Source organism: Homo sapiens, chromosome 10, assembly GCF_000001405.40.
Source record: "Homo sapiens chromosome 10, GRCh38.p14 Primary Assembly".
NCBI lineage: Eukaryota > Metazoa > Chordata > Mammalia > Primates > Hominidae > Homo > Homo sapiens.
Window position 1 is genome coordinate 101,518,920 of NC_000010.11, and position 23,110 is coordinate 101,542,029.

General features: G+C 39.0%; 1 protein-coding gene across 15 annotated transcripts in view; it reads left to right on the forward strand.

The window, feature by feature from the left end:
- Positions 1-23,110, forward strand: part of BTRC (beta-transducin repeat containing E3 ubiquitin protein ligase) — a 203,266-nt gene that overhangs the window by 164,872 nt on the left and 15,284 nt on the right. For 14 of the 15 annotated variants that reach the window (XM_047425986.1, XM_006718054.3, XM_017016870.2 and 11 more), the window contains 9 exons: positions 2,720-2,951; positions 7,094-7,280; positions 12,318-12,414; positions 13,376-13,513; positions 14,033-14,151; positions 15,742-15,991; positions 16,435-16,553; positions 17,624-17,734; positions 19,374-19,452. In XM_047425986.1, the coding sequence (XP_047281942.1) occupies positions 2,720-2,951; positions 7,094-7,280; positions 12,318-12,414; positions 13,376-13,513; positions 14,033-14,151; positions 15,742-15,991; positions 16,435-16,553; positions 17,624-17,734; positions 19,374-19,452 (1,332 nt within the window). Of the gene's footprint in view, positions 1-2,719; positions 2,952-7,093; positions 7,281-12,317; positions 12,415-13,375; positions 13,514-14,032; positions 14,152-15,741; positions 15,992-16,434; positions 16,554-17,623; positions 17,735-19,373; positions 19,453-23,110 lie in introns of those variants that run through there. The other variant, XM_047425987.1, reaches the window with a different exon arrangement.

The following is a 23,110-nucleotide window of genomic DNA, read 5'->3' on the forward strand; positions in this document are numbered from 1 at the left end:
TATTTATTAATTCTGTGTGTAGTTCTGAGGGTCAGAAGTGTGGCACATAGTGGCTGGGTTCTCTGCTGAGAGCATCTCAAGGCTTAAATCAATCAAGGTGTTGGGCTGGACTGAGTTCTCATCTGGAAGCTCAGAGGGAAAATCCTCTTCTCAGCTTTTTTTTTTTTTTTTTTTTTGAGATGGAGTTTCGCTCTCGTTGCCCAGGCTGGAGTGCAATGGCGTGATCTCTCCTCACTGCAATCTCCACCTCCTGGGTTCAAGTGATTCTCCTGCCTCAGCCTCCCAAGTAGCTGGGATTACAGGCACCCGCCACCACACCTGGCTAATTTTTTGTATTTTTAGTAGAGATAGGGTTTCACGATGTTGGCCAGGCTGTTGTCAAACTCCTGACCTTAGGTGATCCACCCACCTCATCCTCCCAAAGTGCTGGGATTACAGACATGAGCCACCACACCCGGCCCTCAGCTCATTCTTGTAGTAGGCAGAATTCAGTTCCTTGCTGTTGTAGGACTGAGGCCCCCATTTTCTTACTGGCTGTCAGCTGGGGGCTCCTTTCAGCAGCTAGAGACTGACCACATTCCTTGCCAGCTGTCCCCCTTCCTCTTCTGTAACCCGTTGAAGCAAACTCTGTGCTTGTAAAGCCTCATACGATTAGGTCAGATCCACCTGAGTAATCTCCTTATCTTAAGGTCAGCTGATTTGGATCCCTCTTTTAATGACAGCAATACCTACATTACTGTTTGAATAACTCAGAGAAGGTATGTGTACACCAGGGGCCAAGAGTCTTGGGGACCAGCCAGGTGCAGTGGCTCACGCCTGTGATCCCAGCACTTTGGGAGGCCAAGGCGGGCAGCTCACCTGAGGTTGGGAGTTCGAGAACAGCCTGACCAACATGGAGAAACCCCGTCTTTACTAAAAATACAGAATTAGCTGGGCATGGGGTTGTGCACCTGTAATCCCAGCTACTCAGGAGGCTGAAGCAGGAGAATCACTTGAACCCGGGAGGCAGAGGTTGCAGTGAGCCGAGATCACGCTATTGCACTCCAGTGTGGGCAACAAGACTGAAACTCTGTCTCAAAACAAACAAACAAAAAAGAATCTTGGGGACCATCTTAGAATTTTGCCTACCACAATAACATACTTTTTTCCTGTCCCCTTATCCTGCTTTTTCTTCATAGCACTACCTACATTATATTTTCTAAGTATTTGCTTGTATTTTGTTTGTTTGTTTGTTTGTTTGGGGGGACAGAGTCTCGCCCTGTTGCCCAGGCTGGAGGGAAGTGGTGCAATCTCAGCTCACTGCAACCTCTGCCTCCTGGGTTCAAGCGATTCTCCTGCCTCAGCCTCCTGAGTAGCTGGGATTACAGGTGTGTTCTCCTCACCTTTGCCTCCCAAAATGCTGGGATTACAGGTATAAGCTACTGCACCTGGCTGCTTCTGTTTTTAATGTGCCTTTCACACTAAGAGTATATGTTAGTGATGTTAGAGACTGTCATTTTTGTTCACTGTTATATTCCTAGTACCAAGGACAGTGTTTGGCACATTATAGAGGTTCAGTAAATACTTATTGAATGAATCAATTAATAAAAAAGACTTCATGGGAAATACGGAATATTTTATGTTATGGAAAAAGGTAAATTGAGCATATGAGTGTTATTTTAGCTTTATGTCCAAAAAGGTACCACAGAGTCTCAGAATATTCATTGGTTTCTTTTCATGAGGAACTTCTTATTTGACAATTAAAAACCAAGTTGTTGGCCGGGCACGGTGGCTCATGCCTGTAATCCCAGTACTTTGGGAGGCTGAAGTGGGCAGATCATTTGATGTCAGGAGTTCAAGACCAGCCTGTCCAACATGATGAAACCCTGTCTCTACTAAAAATATAAAACTTAGCCAGGCGTGGTGGTGGGCACCTGTAGTCCCAATACTTGGGAGGCTGAGGCAGGAGAATCGCTTGATTCTCCGCCTGGGAGGTGGAAGTTGCAGTGAGCCAAGATCATGCCAGTGCACTCCAGCCTGGGCGACAGAGCAAGACTGTCTCCAAAAACAAAAAAAAAGTTGTGATGACGGAGCACAATAGCTCACACCTGTTAATCCCAGCACTTTGGAAAGCCAAGGCAGGAAAATTGCTTGAAGCCAGGAGTTTGAGACCAGCCTGGGCAACAAAAGAAGACTCCATCTCTACAAAAAAAAATGTTAAAAATTAGCAGGACATGATAGTGTGTACCTATATAGTCCCAGCTACTCTGGAGGCTAAGGTGGGAGGATCGCTTGAGCCCAGGAGCTGGAGGCTGCAGTGAGCTATGATCTCACCACTGCACTCCAGCCTGGGTGACAGAGTGAGACCTTGTCTCAAAAAAAAGTTGTGAGCAAGTAATTGTATAAATGTCCAACAACTGTTGTATACAAGAAAAAGCAAATTAGATTTTTGGCTTGCTAGTAATAACATGCTTTCAGCTTTTGGTTTTTATTTGTGTATCTTCAAATATTAAGAATGTCTTCTGCAAACTTTTGGAAATGGATGCTTAGTCTTCTAGTATTATAGCTGATTTACCAACTTTCTATGGTATTTCTGTGGTTTTCCACGTAATTGCTAATAGAATAACAGAGTGGGCTCAATCATGTAGACATAATATAGCATGCCATACCAGAAAATCATATATATTTCCCTCATTTTCAATACTAATCATTTTATGTTTCTTTTAACCCCCTTCTACAGACAAAACTTGCCAATGGCACTTCCAGTATGATTGTGCCCAAGCAACGGAAACTCTCAGCAAGCTATGAAAAGGAAAAGGAACTGTGTGTCAAATACTTTGAGCAGTGGTCAGAGTCAGATCAAGTGGAATTTGTGGAACATCTTATATCCCAAATGTGTCATTACCAACATGGGCACATAAACTCGTATCTTAAACCTATGTTGCAGAGAGATTTCATAACTGCTCTGCCAGGTATGTCTACAAGTGTTTGTAAACCATTAATTTGCTATGATGATAAGAGAACTAGATCTCCAGCTATATATCTCTCTTTAAAAGTCTTTATTGGCTTGATTTTTACAAATTAAGTTCCTTAACTGTACCTTTTTGATATAAAGCTTTTTTTTTTTTTTTTTTTTTTTTTTTTTTTTTTTTGAGATGGAGTCTTGCCCTGTCGCCCAGGCTGGAATGCAGTGGTGTGATCTCAGCTCACTGCAACACTGCAAGCTCCACCTCCCGGCTTAACGCCATTCTCCTGCCTCAGCCTTCTGAGTAGCTGGGACTACAGGCGCCCGCCACCACACTGGGCTAATTTTTTGTATTTTTAGTAGAGATGGGGTTTCACCATGTTAGCCAGGATGGTCTGGATCTCCTGACCTCGTGGTCCACCTGCCTCGGCCTCCCAAAGTGCTGGGATTACAGGCGTGAGCCACCACGCCCAGCTGGTATAAAGCTTTAAAAAAAAAAAAAACAAAAAAAAACAAAAAAAAAAAAACTCTAGAAATAAAGACTCCTTTTTTTTTTTTTTTTTTTTTTTTTTTTGAGACAAAGTCTCACTCTTGTCACCCAGGCTGGAGTGCAGTGGCGCGATCTCGGCTCATTGCAACCTCTGCCTCCCAGATTCAAGCAATTCTCCTGCCTCAGCCTCCCGAGTAGCTGGGACTACAGGCACCTACCACCATGCCTGGCTAATTTTTGTATTTTTAGTAGAGGCGGGGTTTCACCATATTGGCCAGGCTGGTCTCAAACTCTTGACCTCAAATGATTCACCCGCCTTGGCCTCCCAAAGTGTTGGGATTACAGGTGTGAGCCACCGTACCCAGCCAAGACTCCTTTTACCTATCTTCTTACTCATGCCCTTCTATTCAACCTATTTTTACCCATACATAGGTCCAAATAAAATCTTTTCTGAGGTGTTACCTGGTGTAAGATGTGTCTTTTATAATAACACGTCTTAGTTCATGTTTATGTACTTGGATTTGTATTTCTATGAGAATATATCAACAGAATATTTAAATTCTACAGATGGGTTGGGCACGGTGGCTCAGGCCTGTAATTCCAGCACTTTGGGAGGCCGAAGTGGATGGATCACGAGGTCAAGAGTTCGAGACCAGCATGACCAACATAGTGAAACCCTGTCTCTACTAAAAATACAAAAATTAGCTGGGTGTAGTAGCACACACCTGTTATCTCAGCTACTTGGGAGACTGGGGCAGGAGAATCGCTTGAACCCAGGAGGCAGAGGTTGCAGTCAGCTGAGATCACACCCCTGCATTCCAGACTGGGCGACAGGGCGAGACTCCATCTCAGAAAATAAATAAATAAATAAATAGATAAATAAATTCTACAGATGACTAAGAAACGTTTTTAGTTGAAGTTTTTAGAAAGAAGGATATCTCATAAGCCTTGTTGTGGTGTTAAATAAATATAAAATGATACATAAAATCATTTTTTTGGAGGATGCTGTGGTTTTTCTGAATGCTTAAGGGCAGACAAGAACACTGCCAAGGTGTCAGTATTTGGGGGGAATGCTATTTCAGGAAAATAGGAGTCTTGTGTATTCAAAGTTTATTTTAAGAGAAAAAAATCATACCAGCATGAATGAATCTTATATTAAATATCATTACCTTGTTAGGGGAGGGGTTTTGGTTGTTGTTTTCCAATTATAGAAGTTATAGGAAACTTAGAAAATATTTAAAAACATTTCCTAGAACCCCACCATTCAGAAAGAACTACTGATTTGCTAAGTTATTAATATTTTGGCAGGTAGCCTGTTTTCTCTACGTATGTGTATTTGCCTATAAAGCTTTGATCATAAATGTTTTGTGACCATTTTTTCTTAATACATTCTCTTAATGTATTTTTCTAAATTTGTGTTCTCAAAACATACTTTTCAGTTGTTGCATAATATTCTTCACAATGGTTGAAGCACATATTATTTAACCCCTTTATTGAACATTTAGGTAGTTTCAAAATTTTTTCATATTATAAACCATATGATGATGAATTTTTATACATTAATCTTGTAGGAATCCTAGGGGAAAAAATACAGACATAGAATCACTATATATTAAGGAATGTGAACATTTTAAGGCTTTTAATACATGGTGCCAAACTATCCCCTAATAAAAATATACCAGCTCATAGCCTCCCAACTATTAATACTACTTTGTTTTATATTTGCCAATTATACCTTTTTAAAATTTTTGTTTTTCTAAACTAGGAATTTAAGTTGCTGTTTAAAACAAAAGAAGTACCTATTTATATCTTAGGAATAACCACTATAAAAACTGAATTTTACCTATATCTTTTGTTAAACAGAATAGATTTTTGCCCCCTCTTTACTCATTGGATTTTGTTTTAGCCATAGGCAAATAGTTTTCTTTGTACAAAACAGTCTGTGTGTACCTCATTACTTTGTTCTCCCCAGTCACTGAGACATGTTACTATCTCAAGCTTATACCACTAAGAATTGAACAGGAGTTGATTAGACCTGTGTATCCTTTACCTAATATTGATCCCTGGTTTGTATCCACTGACCACTCTATGAGGTATTAAATCATCAATCTAATGCTTTATGGCCATTTAAACTTATAAACCTATATACCATCTGGCTATGTTTAGTAAACCAAACTACTTCAAAAAGTGCCTGTAGTCCATTAATGTAATGGGTTTGTTTGGAGTGTTAGGTGAAATTACTTCCAAAGACTTATTTATAGGTACATGGTGAAATGATCAGGAACAATTTGATGGCACCCATTAAAAACACAGGACTGCATTTTGGAAATTTCTGATGGTGTAGAAAGTTTTAATATAAATTGTACCATTACTGTATTTAACATGAAGAACTAATTATTATATCTTTAATTGGCTTTTGTTCATGTTCCTTTAATAAGAATTGGGTAATGCATGTCTCCATCTGCTTATGCTTACATACGAACATGTGATGCCAGCCAAACAAAATCCATTTAATGCTTTCTTTCTCAAGTCTGCTGAAAAGTGTGACTGATATCCATACAATCTTTATAATTAAAATGATATGATTCAGGGGAAAGGCCCAAAATGAAATGCCATGTTCTCTTTCTTGTTAAGTTTGTGCCTACGGGAGTGAGAGTATGAAGGAATCCTTCTGAACTATTTAAGTCTGTAGAAAACCTCTGATATGTACTTTGTAAACAGAAATAACTTTGAATGTTTTTATCTCAGTTGTAAATGTAGAACAGCAGGCAAAAGAAGTTTTTTTAGTGAGATCATCCTATTTTATAGGATCTTTTCTTCTGAGACCTCAGTACAGATTTGGGTGGTGGAGAACTTTAATTGGGAAGCCCTTCTGGTTTACACTCCCCAAGATCTGTTCTCCACTGTTTTCCTCTGCACCTCCTACAAAATATTCTCTGAAATGCTAACCAAGTTATCTTTTGGTCTGGAATTTTTTTTCATTTTTGCCCAACTGTCATTTAGGTTTTATAGCAGCAGCTACTCTCAAATATAGTTTTTTTAAATCTGAAATTAAACCCATTCTTGAACTTAAACATACATCTCTGTCTTTCTCTTGGGATATTTCCATGCCATTCTGTATTTCCTTCTTCTCTCCTTTCTGCATGCCCAAAATTCTATAACCCAGCACATTCTGACTTAGTGCCTCTCCCCTAGTACATTTAAAGGACATTTCTTTTACCGAACAGCTTTGGAACTACAGCAGTAATAGAAACAGAATGAGAAATGGACCTAATATAGAGATTTGGGGGGGTCTGAATCATAGAGTTTGAGATGCCATCCATAGAACATCCCCTAGTGCTGAAATCCATATAGATAGATGTGAATTGTTTTCTGGAATCCTTTTTATTTTTAATGTCTTGGGGGGTTTGCTGGTTGTTAGCTTTAACTTCCTTATCTAAAGGAAGATGGAAAATACTGTTCATTTCTGTAACCTTATGGAAAAATTATTGACACTCATTTTACCCAAGCCTCTGTTTGAAAAAGAAACTGGACCACACTAGGGACAATGATGTGCCTTCATAGCAGAACAAATGCTGTTCTGTTTTAAAGGACCTTTTGTAAAAAATCATTCGCCACCTTCTGTGTTCTTTTTCTTTGCCTCCTCCCCCTACTGAAAGCTCGGGGATTGGATCATATTGCTGAGAACATTCTGTCATACCTGGATGCCAAATCACTATGTGCTGCTGAACTTGTGTGCAAGGAATGGTACCGAGTGACCTCTGATGGCATGCTGTGGAAGAAGCTTATCGAGAGAATGGTCAGGACAGATTCTCTGTGGAGAGGCCTGGCAGAACGAAGAGGATGGTGAGCCTTTAACTTTTCTTACTCTTATACGGCTTCAGGACCTGGCCATTCACAGTCACTGAAAGATTTTTGGGGAGCCAATGAGACCACTTCTCATTTAATATGGTGATTTTGTTGATTTCTAGCTTAAAATGTAACAGAGAACAAATGTTCATATACTCAGCAGTTTTTCTTCTTACCTGTCACTCACAAAATGACATGATATTGTATTAATACTGCTTTGCAAAAAATAATGGAAAGCTGATCAGCCCTCCTGTTTAAAACATTCTGTTATCTGGGCAGAAGTTGGTATCCTGTGGCTGGGCACAGTGCGTTCACGCCTGCAATCCCAGCACTTTCGGAGGCCAAGGTGGGCAGATCACTCGAGGCCAGGAGTTTGAGACCAGCCTGGCCAACGTGGCGAAACCCCAACTCTACTAAAAATACAAAATTTAGCCGAGTATGGTGGCGTGCACCTGTAATCCCAGCTACTGTAGAGGCTGAGGCAGGAGAATCGCATGAACCCTAGGTTTCTTTCAGAAAATTTCTTGCCTTTATCTTATGCCTCTGGTGTTTTGTCACCTTTGTAATCAAAAATTATTTTTAAGCCCAAGTGGAATAAGAACTCTAGCCATCAGAAAAAGTGAAAATGAAATTAAGTATAAATCATTGTTTCTTCTTAAGACTTCTGTTTTTCAAGATTTTCTGACTTAATTCCGAATTCCCCAAAGCATCATATAGTTAGCAGTCTAAGAGACTTCACTAATTTTTTTGTTGTTCTCTTAACAGTACTATTTCATTAGAACTTCTGAAAGATATCTTTCTTTAAATACTTTTCTCTCAGAGTATGTCTCTAGAATGTCACTATAGGAAAGCTACGTAGTAATAGTTCACAAATAAAGGTGACATATTAAATATTCTCATTGACAGAAAAAATTATAATAGGCATGTGTGTGCTTAGTGATGTCCTTCCAAATTAATTTTATCAGTTGTTTATCTTGGATCATAAAGAGGAAAACAGTTAAAAGTAGAGAACACTTTTAAAAGATAAATATTCATGGGCCAGCTTTCCTTTGAATTTTCATGAAAAAGTAGTTGGCTCTCTTTCTTTTTTTCTATCTTTGAAATTTATTAACACATAATAAATACAATGACCTATAAATATTATACCAAATGCCTCAGATTTTTATCATTCTGGCTATTAGGAAGACTGTTTAAATTTTTCTCTCAAATTGAATTAAAGGAACAAAAAAACTAGGCAATTTTTAGGCTGTGTAACAAAGAATATTGTTGGCCGGGTGGGGTGGCTCACGCCTGTAATCCCAACAGTTTTGGAGGCCAAGGCAAGAGGATCGTTTGAGCCCAGGAGTTTGATACCAGGCTGGGCAACATATTGAGACCTCATCTCTACAAAAAAATCAAAAAATTAGCTGGGCCTGGTGGCGCATGCCTGTAATCCCAGCCACTCAGGAGGCTAAGGTGGGAGGATGGCTTGAGTCTGGGAAGTTGAGGCTGCAGTGAGCTGTGGTCATGCCACTGCACTCCAGCCTGGGCAACAGAGCAAGACCCTGTCTCTTTCTCTGTCTCTCTCTCTCTCTCTCTCTCTCTCTCTCACATACACACACACACACACACACACACAAAAGAATATTATTACTACTTCTCAAATATGTTTTTTAATTCTTATTTCGCTACATAGAAAAATAGAAATCTTTCATAACCTACTTCATACTTTGGAAATAAACTCTTTAATAGTACAACAAAGCAAATAAAAATGGAGTTATATGGTATTCGGGGTCCATCATTTTGCTAAGAGTGCTGGGACCAGCCTTGGGGATACAGCAGGCAGTTGCTTACATGAGAAAATTTTAGGGCAGCTGAGAAGATTTCTGTATCCCTCAGAAAAAAAGAATCTCGTCTCCAAATAACTCCTGAAATTTCAGTTAAGGAGATTCATTCCTTTAGCTATAAAGGTTCTGTTACCTGTTAAAATACATTGTGTTCCCATTTGGACTGTAAATGACAGTAAACCTTCATCATAAATTGGGAGTTTACTGAGTCCTTTTTTGAAGGCAGAAAGATCAAGAAGTAAGTGGGCAGTTCTTGGCAGATGGATGTGAAAATGCCAAAGGTAAAAGGCTCCACAGTTTTGCTTGGGATTGGCACTAAATGGCAAGATCTTTTATGTTAGTTACAAAGAAAAAACAATCATTGAGAAGATGGCTTTTGAGCCTTTCTAAAGGGTAGGTGAAGTAATCCAGGATCCAGCACTAATTACCACTTTTTTCCCCTATCTCTTTATCCACAGAAACCCATTCCCGCTCTTTTGAGTATCCTTCAGAGTTCTGACTATATCCCCTTGTCTTTGGGCATGTTTATCCTCTTAATCCCATGATAAACCCATGAAATTCCAAATACTTATACATCCCGTGTCAACTTCCTCCATTATTCCCTCGACTTTCTTGTTGCTGCTTCTGTTTTTACATGTTGACTTTATTCCTGTGTCAGTTTTCTTCCCTTTTTTAAAAAAAAATTTACTCCATCAGTTTCTCATTTTCTTCTTTCAAGTTGTCTTACCAAGCCTAATACGTCAATAAAGTCTTTCTGTGTTATACTTTTCCCCATATGCTAGCTTTGAAAGGTTCTTCCATTTCTACTAACCAAAAATAGTAAGTAAATACAGTTTTCTAATAAAGCTTTTATCTCTAAGTTTTAACTTGGTATTTGATGTTGTATTTTATATCTAGATGGATTTGACAGTCTTCCCCTGGGACATGAACTCTGTAGTTTTCTCTCTTGAATAATACTGAATATGCTGTCTGCTCAGTAATGGTAACTCTTAAAAGTATAATAAAAGACCACTTGGGAAAAGTCAATTTTCTTAATCAGCAGATCACATTTTATGATAACATTCTGAATTTAATATTTAACGTTTATCATGTACTCACATTCTTGTAGGTACTAGGCATTTCACATAGAAGTAGTCCCTGTTTTCAAAGATCTTCCATCATAAAAGGTTTTGACTTAAAACATAAAGACAGAAGCCAGTTTTCAGTACCTAGCCACCTCTTTCTGTAACACTTTGATTTGAAGAAATTCAGATACTTTACCAAGACATGGTAAATGCAGTGAGGTGGAAAACAAGATCAGAAGCTTATGTGAGTTCTCTTTCCTTAGAATGTAGATAGTATCATTGCATAGGAAGAAAGTCTTGGAGTGCTAGAGATTAAAAGAAGACAGGAATCTCAGGAATGGTGGGCATTGAGAAACAATAAAGTAGTTAAGAATGTGGGTGGGCTCAGGAGTCAGACTTAAAATCTTCACATTCAAAATCTATTATTTGCCTGCAAAGTGTTTGTAGAATAATATTGTACAGAGAAATGTACCATTAATCTGGAATTCTTTCATAACGCATCTTGTTTCCCCTTTTGTTTATGCTGGTGTATCATGTTTCATTAATCCCCCTTTTTATAAGTATTATTTTCACTTCTCTATTTCAGATTTTCTTTTCTGTATTAACACAGAAGTTAGAGCCATCTACCTTCCTGATAGGAAATTTTCTCAACTAATTTTCAGGGTATATAACAGGGAGAGGGCAGGGGAGAAACACTCCTGGAGACACCAAACAATTAATTATATTGTAATGGAGCTATAGAGGGAGGAGTGGATGACTGGCCCAGAGAAAACATGATTTCTCTGGTGCCAGGATTACACTCAGAGGCATTTCTGCCTCTCTCCACTTTGCAAGGCACGGTGCCAGTGAGAACAGCAGTTAGTACACCCATAGTGGGGTTTACTAGCTTCCACACCGTGTTTGGTGGGTTCTTAACTTCCGGATGAGGAATTAAATTTTTTACCCAGCAGGAAGTGATTGCCATTTACTGATTTTTTTTTTGTAGCAAAGATCTAGCTTGGGATACGAGTATTCCAGAGATGTGCTGTCATAAGGAAGGAGATACTAACAAATGTTGCTCACTGGAATCAGGGAAGGCAGTTAAGTACATGTGTATGTACACAGCCAGGAACACACCTGTGAAAGTCAGTTTCATGCCTTAGACTTGATAGCAGTGCTCTTAGGCATTTCTTTTTTTTCTTCTTCCCTAGCTGCTGCTGGACACACCTGTGATCCTTTTGTTTTCTGATGAAATGAACTGAATTGCTCCTTTCAAAGCATAGTTGCACTGATTAGCAGCAGCCTGGGTGACTGAGCAGCCACCACACCTTACCCTGTACAAATAAAGACCTAGCAAAAGTGATCTCCATGCCAGAGGCATTGCTGCTGTCTACAATGCTGGGGACCACTGACACAGTAAAAGGGAAAAAAAAAAAAACCTATAGGGCATGTGCTAGTTCAAAGGTAATAGTTACCATTACTAACAAAATTTCCAAAAGATGAGGCCAGTGAATCTAAGCAGTAGTCTTAATAGAGCAATAGATGAATTCTGATTGTACATATTCCATTTGTTTACTGATATTATAATATTCCTAAAGGCTTGGTACTCCGATGTTCTACACTGGAAATAATCATGTTTTACCCAAAAGCAAATCAGTGTTGGTCAGATTCTTTAGAGCCCAGAAGGTTACTCTTTGACATGGGACTCCTGAAATCAGGCTTACCTTTGCTCCTCCGCAGACAGCTATGGAGAGTATATGGAATGGTAACCGTGAAAACACTTTCAAAATATATGAAGTTCCTTATAAATATATAATGTCGGCCGGGTGTGATGGCTCACGCCTGTAATCCCAGCACTTTGGGAGGCCAAGCAGGCGGGTCATTTGAGGCCAGGAGTTCAAGACCAGCCTGACCAACATGGTGAAACCCCATCTCTACTAAAATACAAAAATTAGCCAGCATGGTGGCAGATGACTGTAATCACAGCTACTCAGGAGGCTGAGGCAGGAGAATCACTTGAACCCAGGAAGCGGAGGTTGCAGTGAGCCAACATCACACTGCTGCACTCCAGCCTGGGCAACAGAGCGAGACTCTGTCTCAAAATATATATGTATTTAAATATATAATGTCATGATTTTCACTGGGAAATATTTGTTATTTTTTAGGGGACAGTATTTATTCAAAAACAAACCTCCTGACGGGAATGCTCCTCCCAACTCTTTTTATAGAGCACTTTATCCTAAAATTATACAAGACATTGAGGTAAGAATCTATGTATTTTGGGGTATTGCCCAAGGGCACAGAATTATCAGCATTCTTCAGTCACAGTATGGTTACAGCAAGCCCATTAAGGTTTATTGACATGAGTTGGGAATCAATCTCTTAGCTGGCCATGGTGGCTCACACCTGTAATCCCAGCATTTTTGGAGGCTGAGGTCAGGAGTTTGAGACCAGCCTGGCTAACATGGTGAGACCCCTGTCTCTACTAAAAATACAAAAATTAGCCAGGCATGGTGGCACACACCTGTAATTCCAGCTACTCAGGAGGCTGAGATAGGAGAATCACTTGAACCTGGGAGGCACATGTTGCAGTGAGCCAAGATCGCACCACTGCACTCCCTCCTGAACGACAGAGCGAGACTCCATCAAAAAAAAAGAAAAGGAAAAGAAAATCAATCTCTTTACAGGCGAGTAGGGTAGGTAAAATAAATTGCTAGGCAAAATTTTAAAGCTTTAAAAAATGGTTTACTAATAAGTAGATGAGAGAGTTAAAGAGATTGATCCCTTCATACATAGCAGTGTGACTGGTAAACTTGTACTCATAAGCTCATATTTAAATATCTTCTGAATTGAACCTCCTTAGAAGTTCATCAGTAGCAATCAGTAGCAATGGCCATCACATATGTAAGAGCACTGAGTGTATAACCTCACGTAGTTCGTAGCTTTTCTTCTCTTGATGAGTAGTCTCTTTCCACCAGATTTATTATTTAATTGAACAAATTATAGGCAGGGAAGTTCTAGGAAACAACCTTTAATTACCTTGCAAAAGGAAGAATATTTTATAAATATAGATAGTAGCCTTTTAAAGACATTTTTTAGTTTTCCCTAAGTTGTGTATATCCCATAGAGTAAAGCATTGAGCCATTGATTGTCATTAAAGCCTAAAAAGAGTTTGATTCTAGGTGTTTCCTAACACTGCCTCTTTCCCATTCCTTCTTCTCAGACAATAGAATCTAATTGGAGATGTGGAAGACATAGTTTACAGAGAATTCACTGCCGAAGTGAAACAAGCAAAGGAGTTTACTGTTTACAGTATGATGATCAGAAAATAGTAAGCGGCCTTCGAGACAACACAATCAAGGTGAGGTCTATTCAGTTGTAGAAAGGTAGCAGAGGGAGCAAGAGTGACCACATTCATAGCGCAGTCTAAAGCATAAACTCTAAGCATTATTTCTAGAAAGTAAGTGAAGATTTTAGATTGTTTCCAGTCCCAAAGCCAAAATCATTTCCTTAAAGGACAGACATCAGCTTCCCCACTATACAAACGGGTAGTCCTAGGGTTAAATTCTCTTCTTGAAATGCACTGAATGGGCTGTTACTCTTTTGGCCATCACATAATTATAGACTACCCTGTTCCTTAATGAAAAGGATAAAAGTTTGCATTAGTACTGAAGCTATATGTGTGTGTGTGTGTGTGTGTGTGTGTGTGTGTGTGTGTGCGCGTGTGCGCGCGCGCGCGCTTAGCTATACCTATAGAAAATGCATTCCACACTACTCTGGGCTTTGATTATTTTGGGGGATCAGACACGTAATAGGACCAACAAGTCTCCACAGCACCCCATCATCACATTGATCAAAAGGATCTTATTTGCCATCCTAGATCTGGGATAAAAACACATTGGAATGCAAGCGAATTCTCACAGGCCATACAGGTTCAGTCCTCTGTCTCCAGTATGATGAGAGAGTGATCATAACAGGATCATCGGATTCCACGGTCAGGTAGAAAATTTCAAATGCTTTTTTGAACTCTGAAATATCAGCTCTGCTCTGTTCTTTGTCATAGATAGTAATTTTGTATATATCGGCACAGTTCTGAAACTAAAGAAGAATAAACCACCAGGTCCCCATCATTTCTGTCAGTCTAGAACTAGAAAACTTGATTTAGAAATGCTTGAGGTAAGTTTACATTTTCGCACATTGAAGAAACTACACATTCTATTTTAATTTGGAGGATCATCTATTACAGAAACTTTTCTTATCCTTATGGTAAACTTTGCATTCCTTACAAAAACCACCTCACGGGGGAATGATATGAATGCAATGAAGCCTTCCTTTCAGGTAGTGGTAACTGTAGTGCAGGTCTGTATTATCTCCTTTGAAACATGTACAGGTGAGCTGTGCTCTCTTTGCCAGCCCCTCCCCTGCCATCCCTGCAGTTTTTAATTGCAAGCTTCACTCAGGTAGGGGCCCTCAATTTCCAGAGGCATTAGTGATTTGATGACACAGCCATTATACTGCTGGAGTCCAGGATAGCTTGAGTTCTGGGTACCAGCAGCACTGCTGGGAACCTCTGTTAGGAATTTTGCCGTAAGCTAAAGGATTTAGCAAACATAATGCATCAAAAGTAACTTTAAAAAAAAAATAGACCTAGGAAAAAAGCGGTTAAGTGCATTGTTAGATACTCTGAAGTTAAATGTTTACCATTCCAAGTTATCCTCTGTGAATAGAAAAGACGGTTCCTGTTTTTTGTCTTTTGACTTAAAGGCATAGCAAGGCATAGCAAACTTGGCCCTTGTAGTTACTGACATTTAACATTTATTGGTGCTTGTGGAGTGAGTGCCCCACAGAATCTAAAACACTGCAGGTGCTAACATCATTTATAAGATAAAGAAAAAATGATATTCTATAAAAGGGGGCTAAACTGGAAAAAAGGAAATAACATGTTATAAAACCTTAAGTAAATACACAAAAATAGAATAATCAAAATATATAATCACACAAAATTCTCAAGCTATCCAAGGGCCCCACACTCTGCTGTGAAGCCCATATTTACAATGGGGGGTCTATTTTAAACCCCTACCCACTTCAGAACACAGAAATGGGGGCTTAGAATTAGAGTCATGGTTATCTTGGCCTTTGACCTTTATGATAAAACCTGAGATCCAGGGTAATCAAACTCAAATTCACATTACTAAGTATGTGACAGAAGCATCTTGGCCTATTTCATTTCTGGCTCCTGAGGGCTATCATTGGAATGGGCACTAATGCTATTGTTATTAATCAGATTCCTCATTTAAAATGTATCTTACTAATGGTATCAAATTGAATGTGAGAAGTTTTACAGTCTTCAAGTCTGGGCCAAATTATTAGGTGACAGTGGCTGCCACTTCATCCTTGCCCTCCACAACTTGCCCATATTTCAAGCAGTATGTCTTAAGGACACACTGGCAGCATCCCATCCCCTTCCTTCTCCCACTCTCCCAGTCTGGCCCTCTCTCTAAATATAAGGGGTGGAAGGGCGCATGATGGTCAAATATAGGTAACAGATTGTAGCTTGAGTACCATCTAAATCTCATCTATCACTTCCAGAGTGTGGGATGTAAATACAGGTGAAATGCTAAACACGTTGATTCACCATTGTGAAGCAGTTCTGCACTTGCGTTTCAATAATGGCATGATGGTGACCTGCTCCAAAGATCGTTCCATTGCTGTATGGGATATGGCCTCCCCAACTGACATTACCCTCCGGAGGGTGCTGGTCGGACACCGAGCTGCTGTCAATGTTGTAGACTTTGATGACAAGTACATTGTTTCTGCATCTGGGGATAGAACTATAAAGGTAATAAGGCATTTTTCAGTAAGTTTCCAACTTAGAATGGGGGAATTCATATGAAAATTTGATCAAGGGCAATTTCATATTTAAACGTTGCTACAGAAAAATGTAATATTTAATTCAGAGACTAGTCTACAAGTGAAAAGGTGTAATAAGTGAGACGTTGTGTGACAATTTATCCTAGATATTTTATTCCTATAAATAGTGGTGAGTGTGAGAAGAGACTAACCCTAGAAGAGTAAATCAATCTGAGGAATTCTCATGTGGTAACAGCCAACTGCAAATTAGCCTCTGTTACCATGAATTTAAATTGTCCTTTGTTTTATTTGTTTGAGAAGACTTCCCTCTAATGGTTCAGTCCTGTTTTCTGCTTCTCTAAGACTCCATTTGCCATAGATTTTACCAATAAAAGCACCAAATCAACTGCTCAATGCCATTTTCTTTTTCAGGTATGGAACACAAGTACTTGTGAATTTGTAAGGACCTTAAATGGACACAAACGAGGCATTGCCTGTTTGCAGTACAGGGACAGGCTGGTAGTGAGTGGCTCATCTGACAACACTATCAGGTGAGCAGCAAGTGCCTTGTATCATAAGGGATCAATATTATGCTCCCATTCATTATTAATGCACAGATCATACAAGTCTTCAATTTTGTTATGTTTATAATCAACTGTTTTTCCTTTCTGTAGCTTCTTACAGGTCAGAAGTTTGCCCCAGGCAGAGAAGCAGCACAGCAAAGCCTTTTGTTGCCCTTCTTTTTAAATTTCTCCTGTCTACCGTTGAAAAGTGCTAATAAACAGCTAACAGCCTTTTCTTTGCCATTGTTTTTAAGAAATGAAAAGAAAGATTTGTTTCCTTACTAGAAATTATGTAATTTTTGTCTTAGCATTACATAATTGGCCAGAGAGTTACCTGTCTTTGAAATTATGAAGATTTCACAGTTGGAAGTCCTTTTTGGGGTTTTCCCTTCACAAAGATGAATGACATAGATATGATTATAATTTGGAAGATTTATCCATCCTCTCCCTTCAGTGAAGTATTAAAAGGATGAAAAGGCCATTAAAAAAGAGCTACTGTTTGTTATATCTAAGGAAATTATTCCTAGAAATCACTTGAATTGCTCTGAAAACGTACAGTTTTTATAATTAGTACACAAAAGTTCTTGAGAACTGACTTTGCATTTCTATTCTCTGAGAAGAGCTGTCCTGGACAGTGGTGAAAGAAGTGTCTGCCGTGGCAGAGGGGGAGGTGCTTTGTGAGAACAGGACATCACTGATAATCTGTATCTCTTTCAGTTTGGTGACTTCAGGAAACTGCTTTCTTAGCTTGGTCATTTCCTTCTCAGGCAACTGCGTGCATTGAATTCGTTTTTATGCCTGGAAGAACCTGTTTACAGAATTATGTAAAGCCCTGTGCTTTGAAAATACATTTTACATTTGAACTTAAACCTACATATTTCTGTGTGAGTTATATAGCAGAAAGGAAATAAATTACATTGAAAGCAGTACATATCTGTGTGGGTGGTGATTGATTTTATTTTATGAATTTTTAGAAGGCATATGAGGTGTATTGTTATAACATTCCAGGCTTAGAAAAGAATACGTGAAAATTCACCTGACTTAATTTTCTCTTCCAGATTATGGGACATAGAATGTGGTGCATGTTTACGAGTGTTAGAAGGCCATGAGGAATTGGTGCGTTGTATTCGATTTGATAACAAGAGGATAGTCAGTGGGGCCTATGATGGGTGAGTGTGCTAACAGAGTGTAAAAAAGAGAAAATCTACGTCTTAATCCTTCCTTATGTTTATGGTGTTAAACATAACCATTCCTTGTTTCTAAAAGCTTATAGATTTTACACAAAATATCTGATACCATATTTCTTTAATCCGTGTATTTACCTCTCCTTGGTTTAGTGTCCTGAAATATTCTTCCCATTCATTTTATTATACTTGTTTGCACATGGTTGTCATTCATATTTTGGTTATTTGGTTATGTATTTGACTGTTTTGCCCTGTAAAGCAAAGAACAAGAAAAACCCAGTGTTAACAGGCTACCCATGTAAAAGGGTAACCTGTTAACAAAACAGAAACACTAGAGGGCAGTATTTGGGGACTTAGTGTGGTAAGATCTTGAATTTTGATTTCTTGGGTTTTTTATCTCTTTGAGTAATTTTTAAGAGTACAGTTCTCTTGTCATCACTTGTCATCCTAGCATTTCATTTATGAGTTTAGTCATCTTTATTTTCTTCTAATTTCTAGTGGTTATGGAATCCATTAATTTTGTGAATGGACCCCATGTCCACCAATCCTAAACACAGAGTAAATTCAAACAAAAGTAGTCTGGGCACAATGGCTCATGCATTTAATCCCAGCACTTTGGGAGACCGAGACAGGTGGATCATTTGAGGTCAGTAGTTCGAGACCAGCCTGGCCAACATGGCAAAACCCAGTCTCTACTAAAAGTACAAAAATTAGCCAGGTGTGGTTGCGGGCGCCTGTAATCCCAGCTACTTAGGAGGCTGAGGCAGGAGAATTGCTTGAACCAGGGAGGCAGAGGTTGCAGTGAGCCAAGATTGCGCCACCACACTCCAGCCTGGGCAACAGAGCGAGACTCCGTCTCAAAAAAAGAAAAAAAAATAGTTATTCACTTAGGAAGAACTCTTATCATTTCTTTTTGTCAATCTGCCTGATTTTGGCAGCTTTTTAAATATCAGAAACTAACAACATTATTTTAGTTCATGAGTTAACTACACTGATACATTCATTAGCCAATGCAAGCAGCAGGAAGTGTAGACTGCTCACTTCTTCTGCTTTGGGACAGCCATCACTGTTACAACCTTGGGAAATTGTTCAGAGTGTGGTGACATGTTCCAGCTTGGTCAAGACAATATTTTCTTATTGTCCTGGCTTTGATCTGTACCCACCTGTCTTGGAATTTGTCTGCTATGTACCTTGAGGAAACATGGCCTATTAAAAGATTTTTGGAAGAGCTACACTTATCTTATTTAAATCAAAAGATGAGGGCTTGCTTATATAAACTCCATTGCTCTTACATGGACCCCAGTCCCTCAGTACATGTGACCTGGGCCACTCTTAGAAGTGCCCAGGAAGAGGATGCTTCACAGTTGTAGATTTCTAGGTCTGTGTAATATCATTAAAAGGTCTAATGTACAAGATCTCCTCTTGATCCCAAAGTATGGTATAACTTTACTGTTAACTGTCTTCAGTTTGGTTAAAGCTAGCCTGTTTCTCATTTGTAGGTTAATCACGTACATTTGAACTATACTCACCATCCATATTTATTGCCATGAATTTCTGCTATTCTTCCCTGCCTTCTCTTACATTTGCTTTTAACTAACATTTTTGTCCCCTTTTTGATCTTTAGAAAAATTAAAGTGTGGGATCTTGTGGCTGCTTTGGACCCCCGTGCTCCTGCAGGGACACTCTGTCTACGGACCCTTGTGGTAAGAGCCTTGCTGTTTAGAGAGCATTGGAGAGCAGGTGGGGGAAGAAATTAAACGTTGATGTGCTGTGGAATATGGATTTGAATTTAATAGTTACAACCTCACAAAACCTACAACTAAGTGGTAAGGCAACCAGTACATGACAATAAAATATGTTTATATAATTCCTTTCATCCAAAAATGCTTTAGAGACTATATATGGAGAGAAATGTGGCAGCTGTTTAACAGCTGCACAGCAACTCTACACAACAGTTTAGTGCAGGGAGTGAATAAGAATTCTGTATCCACCAGAAACAGCAGGGGGTACTAAGGGAGAGAGAATATAATTATTCAAATTGGAACCTGTCCAAAATCTGAGGACCTGTACACCTGTGCCTTCAAAAAGTGCCCTGGGGGCCGGGTGCGGTGGCTCATGCCTATTATCCCAGCACTTTGGGAGGTCAAGGCAGATGGATCACCTGAGATCAGGAGTTCAAGACCAGCTTGACCAACACGGTGAAACCCCATCTCTGCTAAAAATAAAAAAAAAATTAGCCAAGCATGGTGGCAGGTGCCTGTAATCCTAGCTACTCAGGAGGCTGAGGCAGGAGAATCACTTGAACCTGAGAGGCGGAGGTTGCAGTGAACCAAGATCATGCTTGCACTCCAGCCTGGGCAACAAGAGCGAAACTCTGTCTTAAAAAAAAAAAAAAACTGCCCTGGGAATCTGCATGAATCCCCCTGGTCAACCCCTTAGTTCTGCAGCCTATTCATGAGGTAGTGCCTCCAGCAACTTGAGCCCATCTTTTTTGTTCCCCATATACCCCCTTTTGACATTTGGGGAAAAAAGTGATTCAAAAGGAGGAATGCACTAAATTATTTATCATGTTGTTAGCCAAGGGCCCAGATTGATAAATGCTGCTTCCATTAGAAAATTAGTTGGAGCAACAGGGTGGACAGACACCACTCGGAGAAAAGATGAGAGCAAGCATTTGAAGCCCAGTGTTCTAAATCCTGACTGTCATCATTTAGGCATTCTTGGCTCTGGAGAAGAGAAAGAGGTTACATTTCTTGTCTTCCTTGTTGGATTTATGTGTGTATGTATAAGACAGGGTCTTCCTCTGTCACCCAGGCTATAGTGAAGTGGCACTACATGTTGCTGATGTATATCAATATTTCATTTCTTTTGAAAATTTGCTGAGTAGTATTCTATTGTATGGTTATACCCATTCACTGATTGTTTCTCGTTTTTGGCTATTAACAAAGTTTCTATAAACATTTATGTAGAAGTCTTGGGATGAATGTATGCTTTTTGCTTTTATTTCTCTGAGGTAAATACCTAGGAGCAGATGACTAGGTCATATGGTAAGTGTATGTTTAAAATTTTTAGAAACTGCCAAACTGTTTTTCAAAGTGGTTTACCCTTTTACATTATAGTATATAGCAGTGTATGAGAGTTCCAGTTACTCCACATTCTTGCCAGTACTGAGCACAGTCTGTAATTTAGTCATTCTCATTGTGGTTTAATTCGTGTATCTCTAATGATTAATAATGTCAAGCATCTATTCTTTGCCATCTGTATATCTCCTTTGGTGAAGTGTGTTCAAATCTTTTCCCATTTTTTAATTGAGTGGTTATTGAGTTTTGAGATTCTTTTATATATTATAAGTTACAAATGCATTATCAGATGTAATTCACAAGTATTTTCTCCACGTTCATAAAATTTGTTTCTTTGTTTTCTTAAAAGTGTCTTTCAAAAAGCGGTTCTTAATTTTAAGTCTACTGCATTGACTTTTTCTATTATGGCCTATGTTACTTGCTGTTGTATCTCAGAAAAACCTTTGACTAATCCAGAGTCACAAGGATTTTTCCCTGTGTTTTCTTCTCTAAGTTTTATAATTTTCAGTTTGTATTTTGGTCTATGATCCATTTTGAGTTAATCTTTGCATATGGTACAAGGTGTAGATCAAAGGGTTGGGCTTTTTTACACATGAATATCCAGTTGTTCCAGCACCATTTATTCAAAAGACTGTCCTTTCGAAATGCTTTTGCAGCTTTGTCAAAAATGAATTGACCATATATGTGTGAGTCTTCTTTGGGAATCTGTTCTGTTCCATTGATTTTTGTCTGTCTTGATTCCAGTATAATTTTATTTTGATTACTGCAGCTTTTTACCAACTCTTGAAGTCAAGTAATGTGAGTCCTTCAGCTTTGTCTTTTTCAAAGTTTTTTGGGGCCTTTGATTTTTCATGTTAATTTTAAAATCAGTTTGCCAAGTTCAACCAAAAAAGTCTGCTGGGAATGTTTTTTAATTTTTTAATAAATAAATAGGTATGGGGTCTCAGTGTGTTGCCCAGACTGGTCTCAAACTCCTGGCCTCAAATAGTACTCCTACCTCAGACATCCAAAGTGCTTGGATTATAGGCCTGAGCCACTCCATCTGCTGGGTTTTTTGTTGGACTTGTGTTGACTGTAGATCAGTTTGGAGAATATTGACTTCTGAACAATATTGAGTCTTTATCTCTCCATTTGTTTAGGTCTTTTTAACTTTCTCAGCCACGTTGTAGCTTTTAGTATAAAGGTTTTGCACATCTTTTTGTCACAGTTATCCCTAAATATTTTGTATTTTTAATGCTATTGGAAAAGGTATTTTTAAACCTTGGTTTCTGATTGTTCATTGCAAATACATAGAAATATACTTTTACTTATTTCCCAATCTATGTATCTTTTATTTCTCTCTCCCTCTTTTTTTTTTTTCTTAATTGCACTGGCTAAGACCTCCAGTACAATGTTAAAAACAATTGGTAAGAGTGAATGTCCCTTTTTTGTTCATGATCTTAGGCGAAAGGCATTCAGTCTTTCACCGTTTCACATATGTGTATATATAGATGTATGTCAGCTATAGGGTTTTTCTCTTTTTTTTTTTTGAGACGGAGTCTCGCTCTTTCACCCAGGCTGGAGTGCAGTGGCGCGATCTCAGCGCACTGCAAGCTCTGCCTCCTGGGTTCACGCCATTCTCCTGCCTCAGCTTCCTGAGTAGCTGGGACTACAGGCACGTGCCACCATGCCCGGCTGATTTTTTGTATTTTTTAGTAGAGACGGGGTTTCATCATGTTAGCCAGGATGGTCTCGATCTCCTGACCTCGTGATCCAGCCACCTCAGCCTCCCAAAGTGCTGGGATTACAGGCGTGAACCACCGCGCCCGGCCTAGGGTTTTTCATAGTGACCCATTATCAGGGGATTAGGCAGTTCCCTTCTGTTCCTAGATTGCTGAGAGTTTTAATGAGGAACACATGTTGGATTTTGTGAAATGCTTTATCTACATCCATTGAGATAATCATATGGTTTTTCACTTTTATTCTGTTAATTGGTATATTACATTGAATTTTTTTTAGCTTTAAATCCTTTGCATTGCTGGTATAAACACCACTTGTTCATGAGGTATAATTCTTTTTATGTGTTGTTGGATTCACCTTGCTAATATCTTTTTAAGGATTTTTGTGTGTGTGTGTATCTGTGTTTGTAAGGGATATTGGTTTGTTGCTTTATTTTCTGTGTCTCTGGTTGACTGTCATGATAATGTTGGCCTTATAAAATTTTGAAGTGTTCCCTCATCTATTTTCTAAGAGTTTGCATATGTGATATTATGCTTCTTTAAATGCTTGATAGAATTCACTA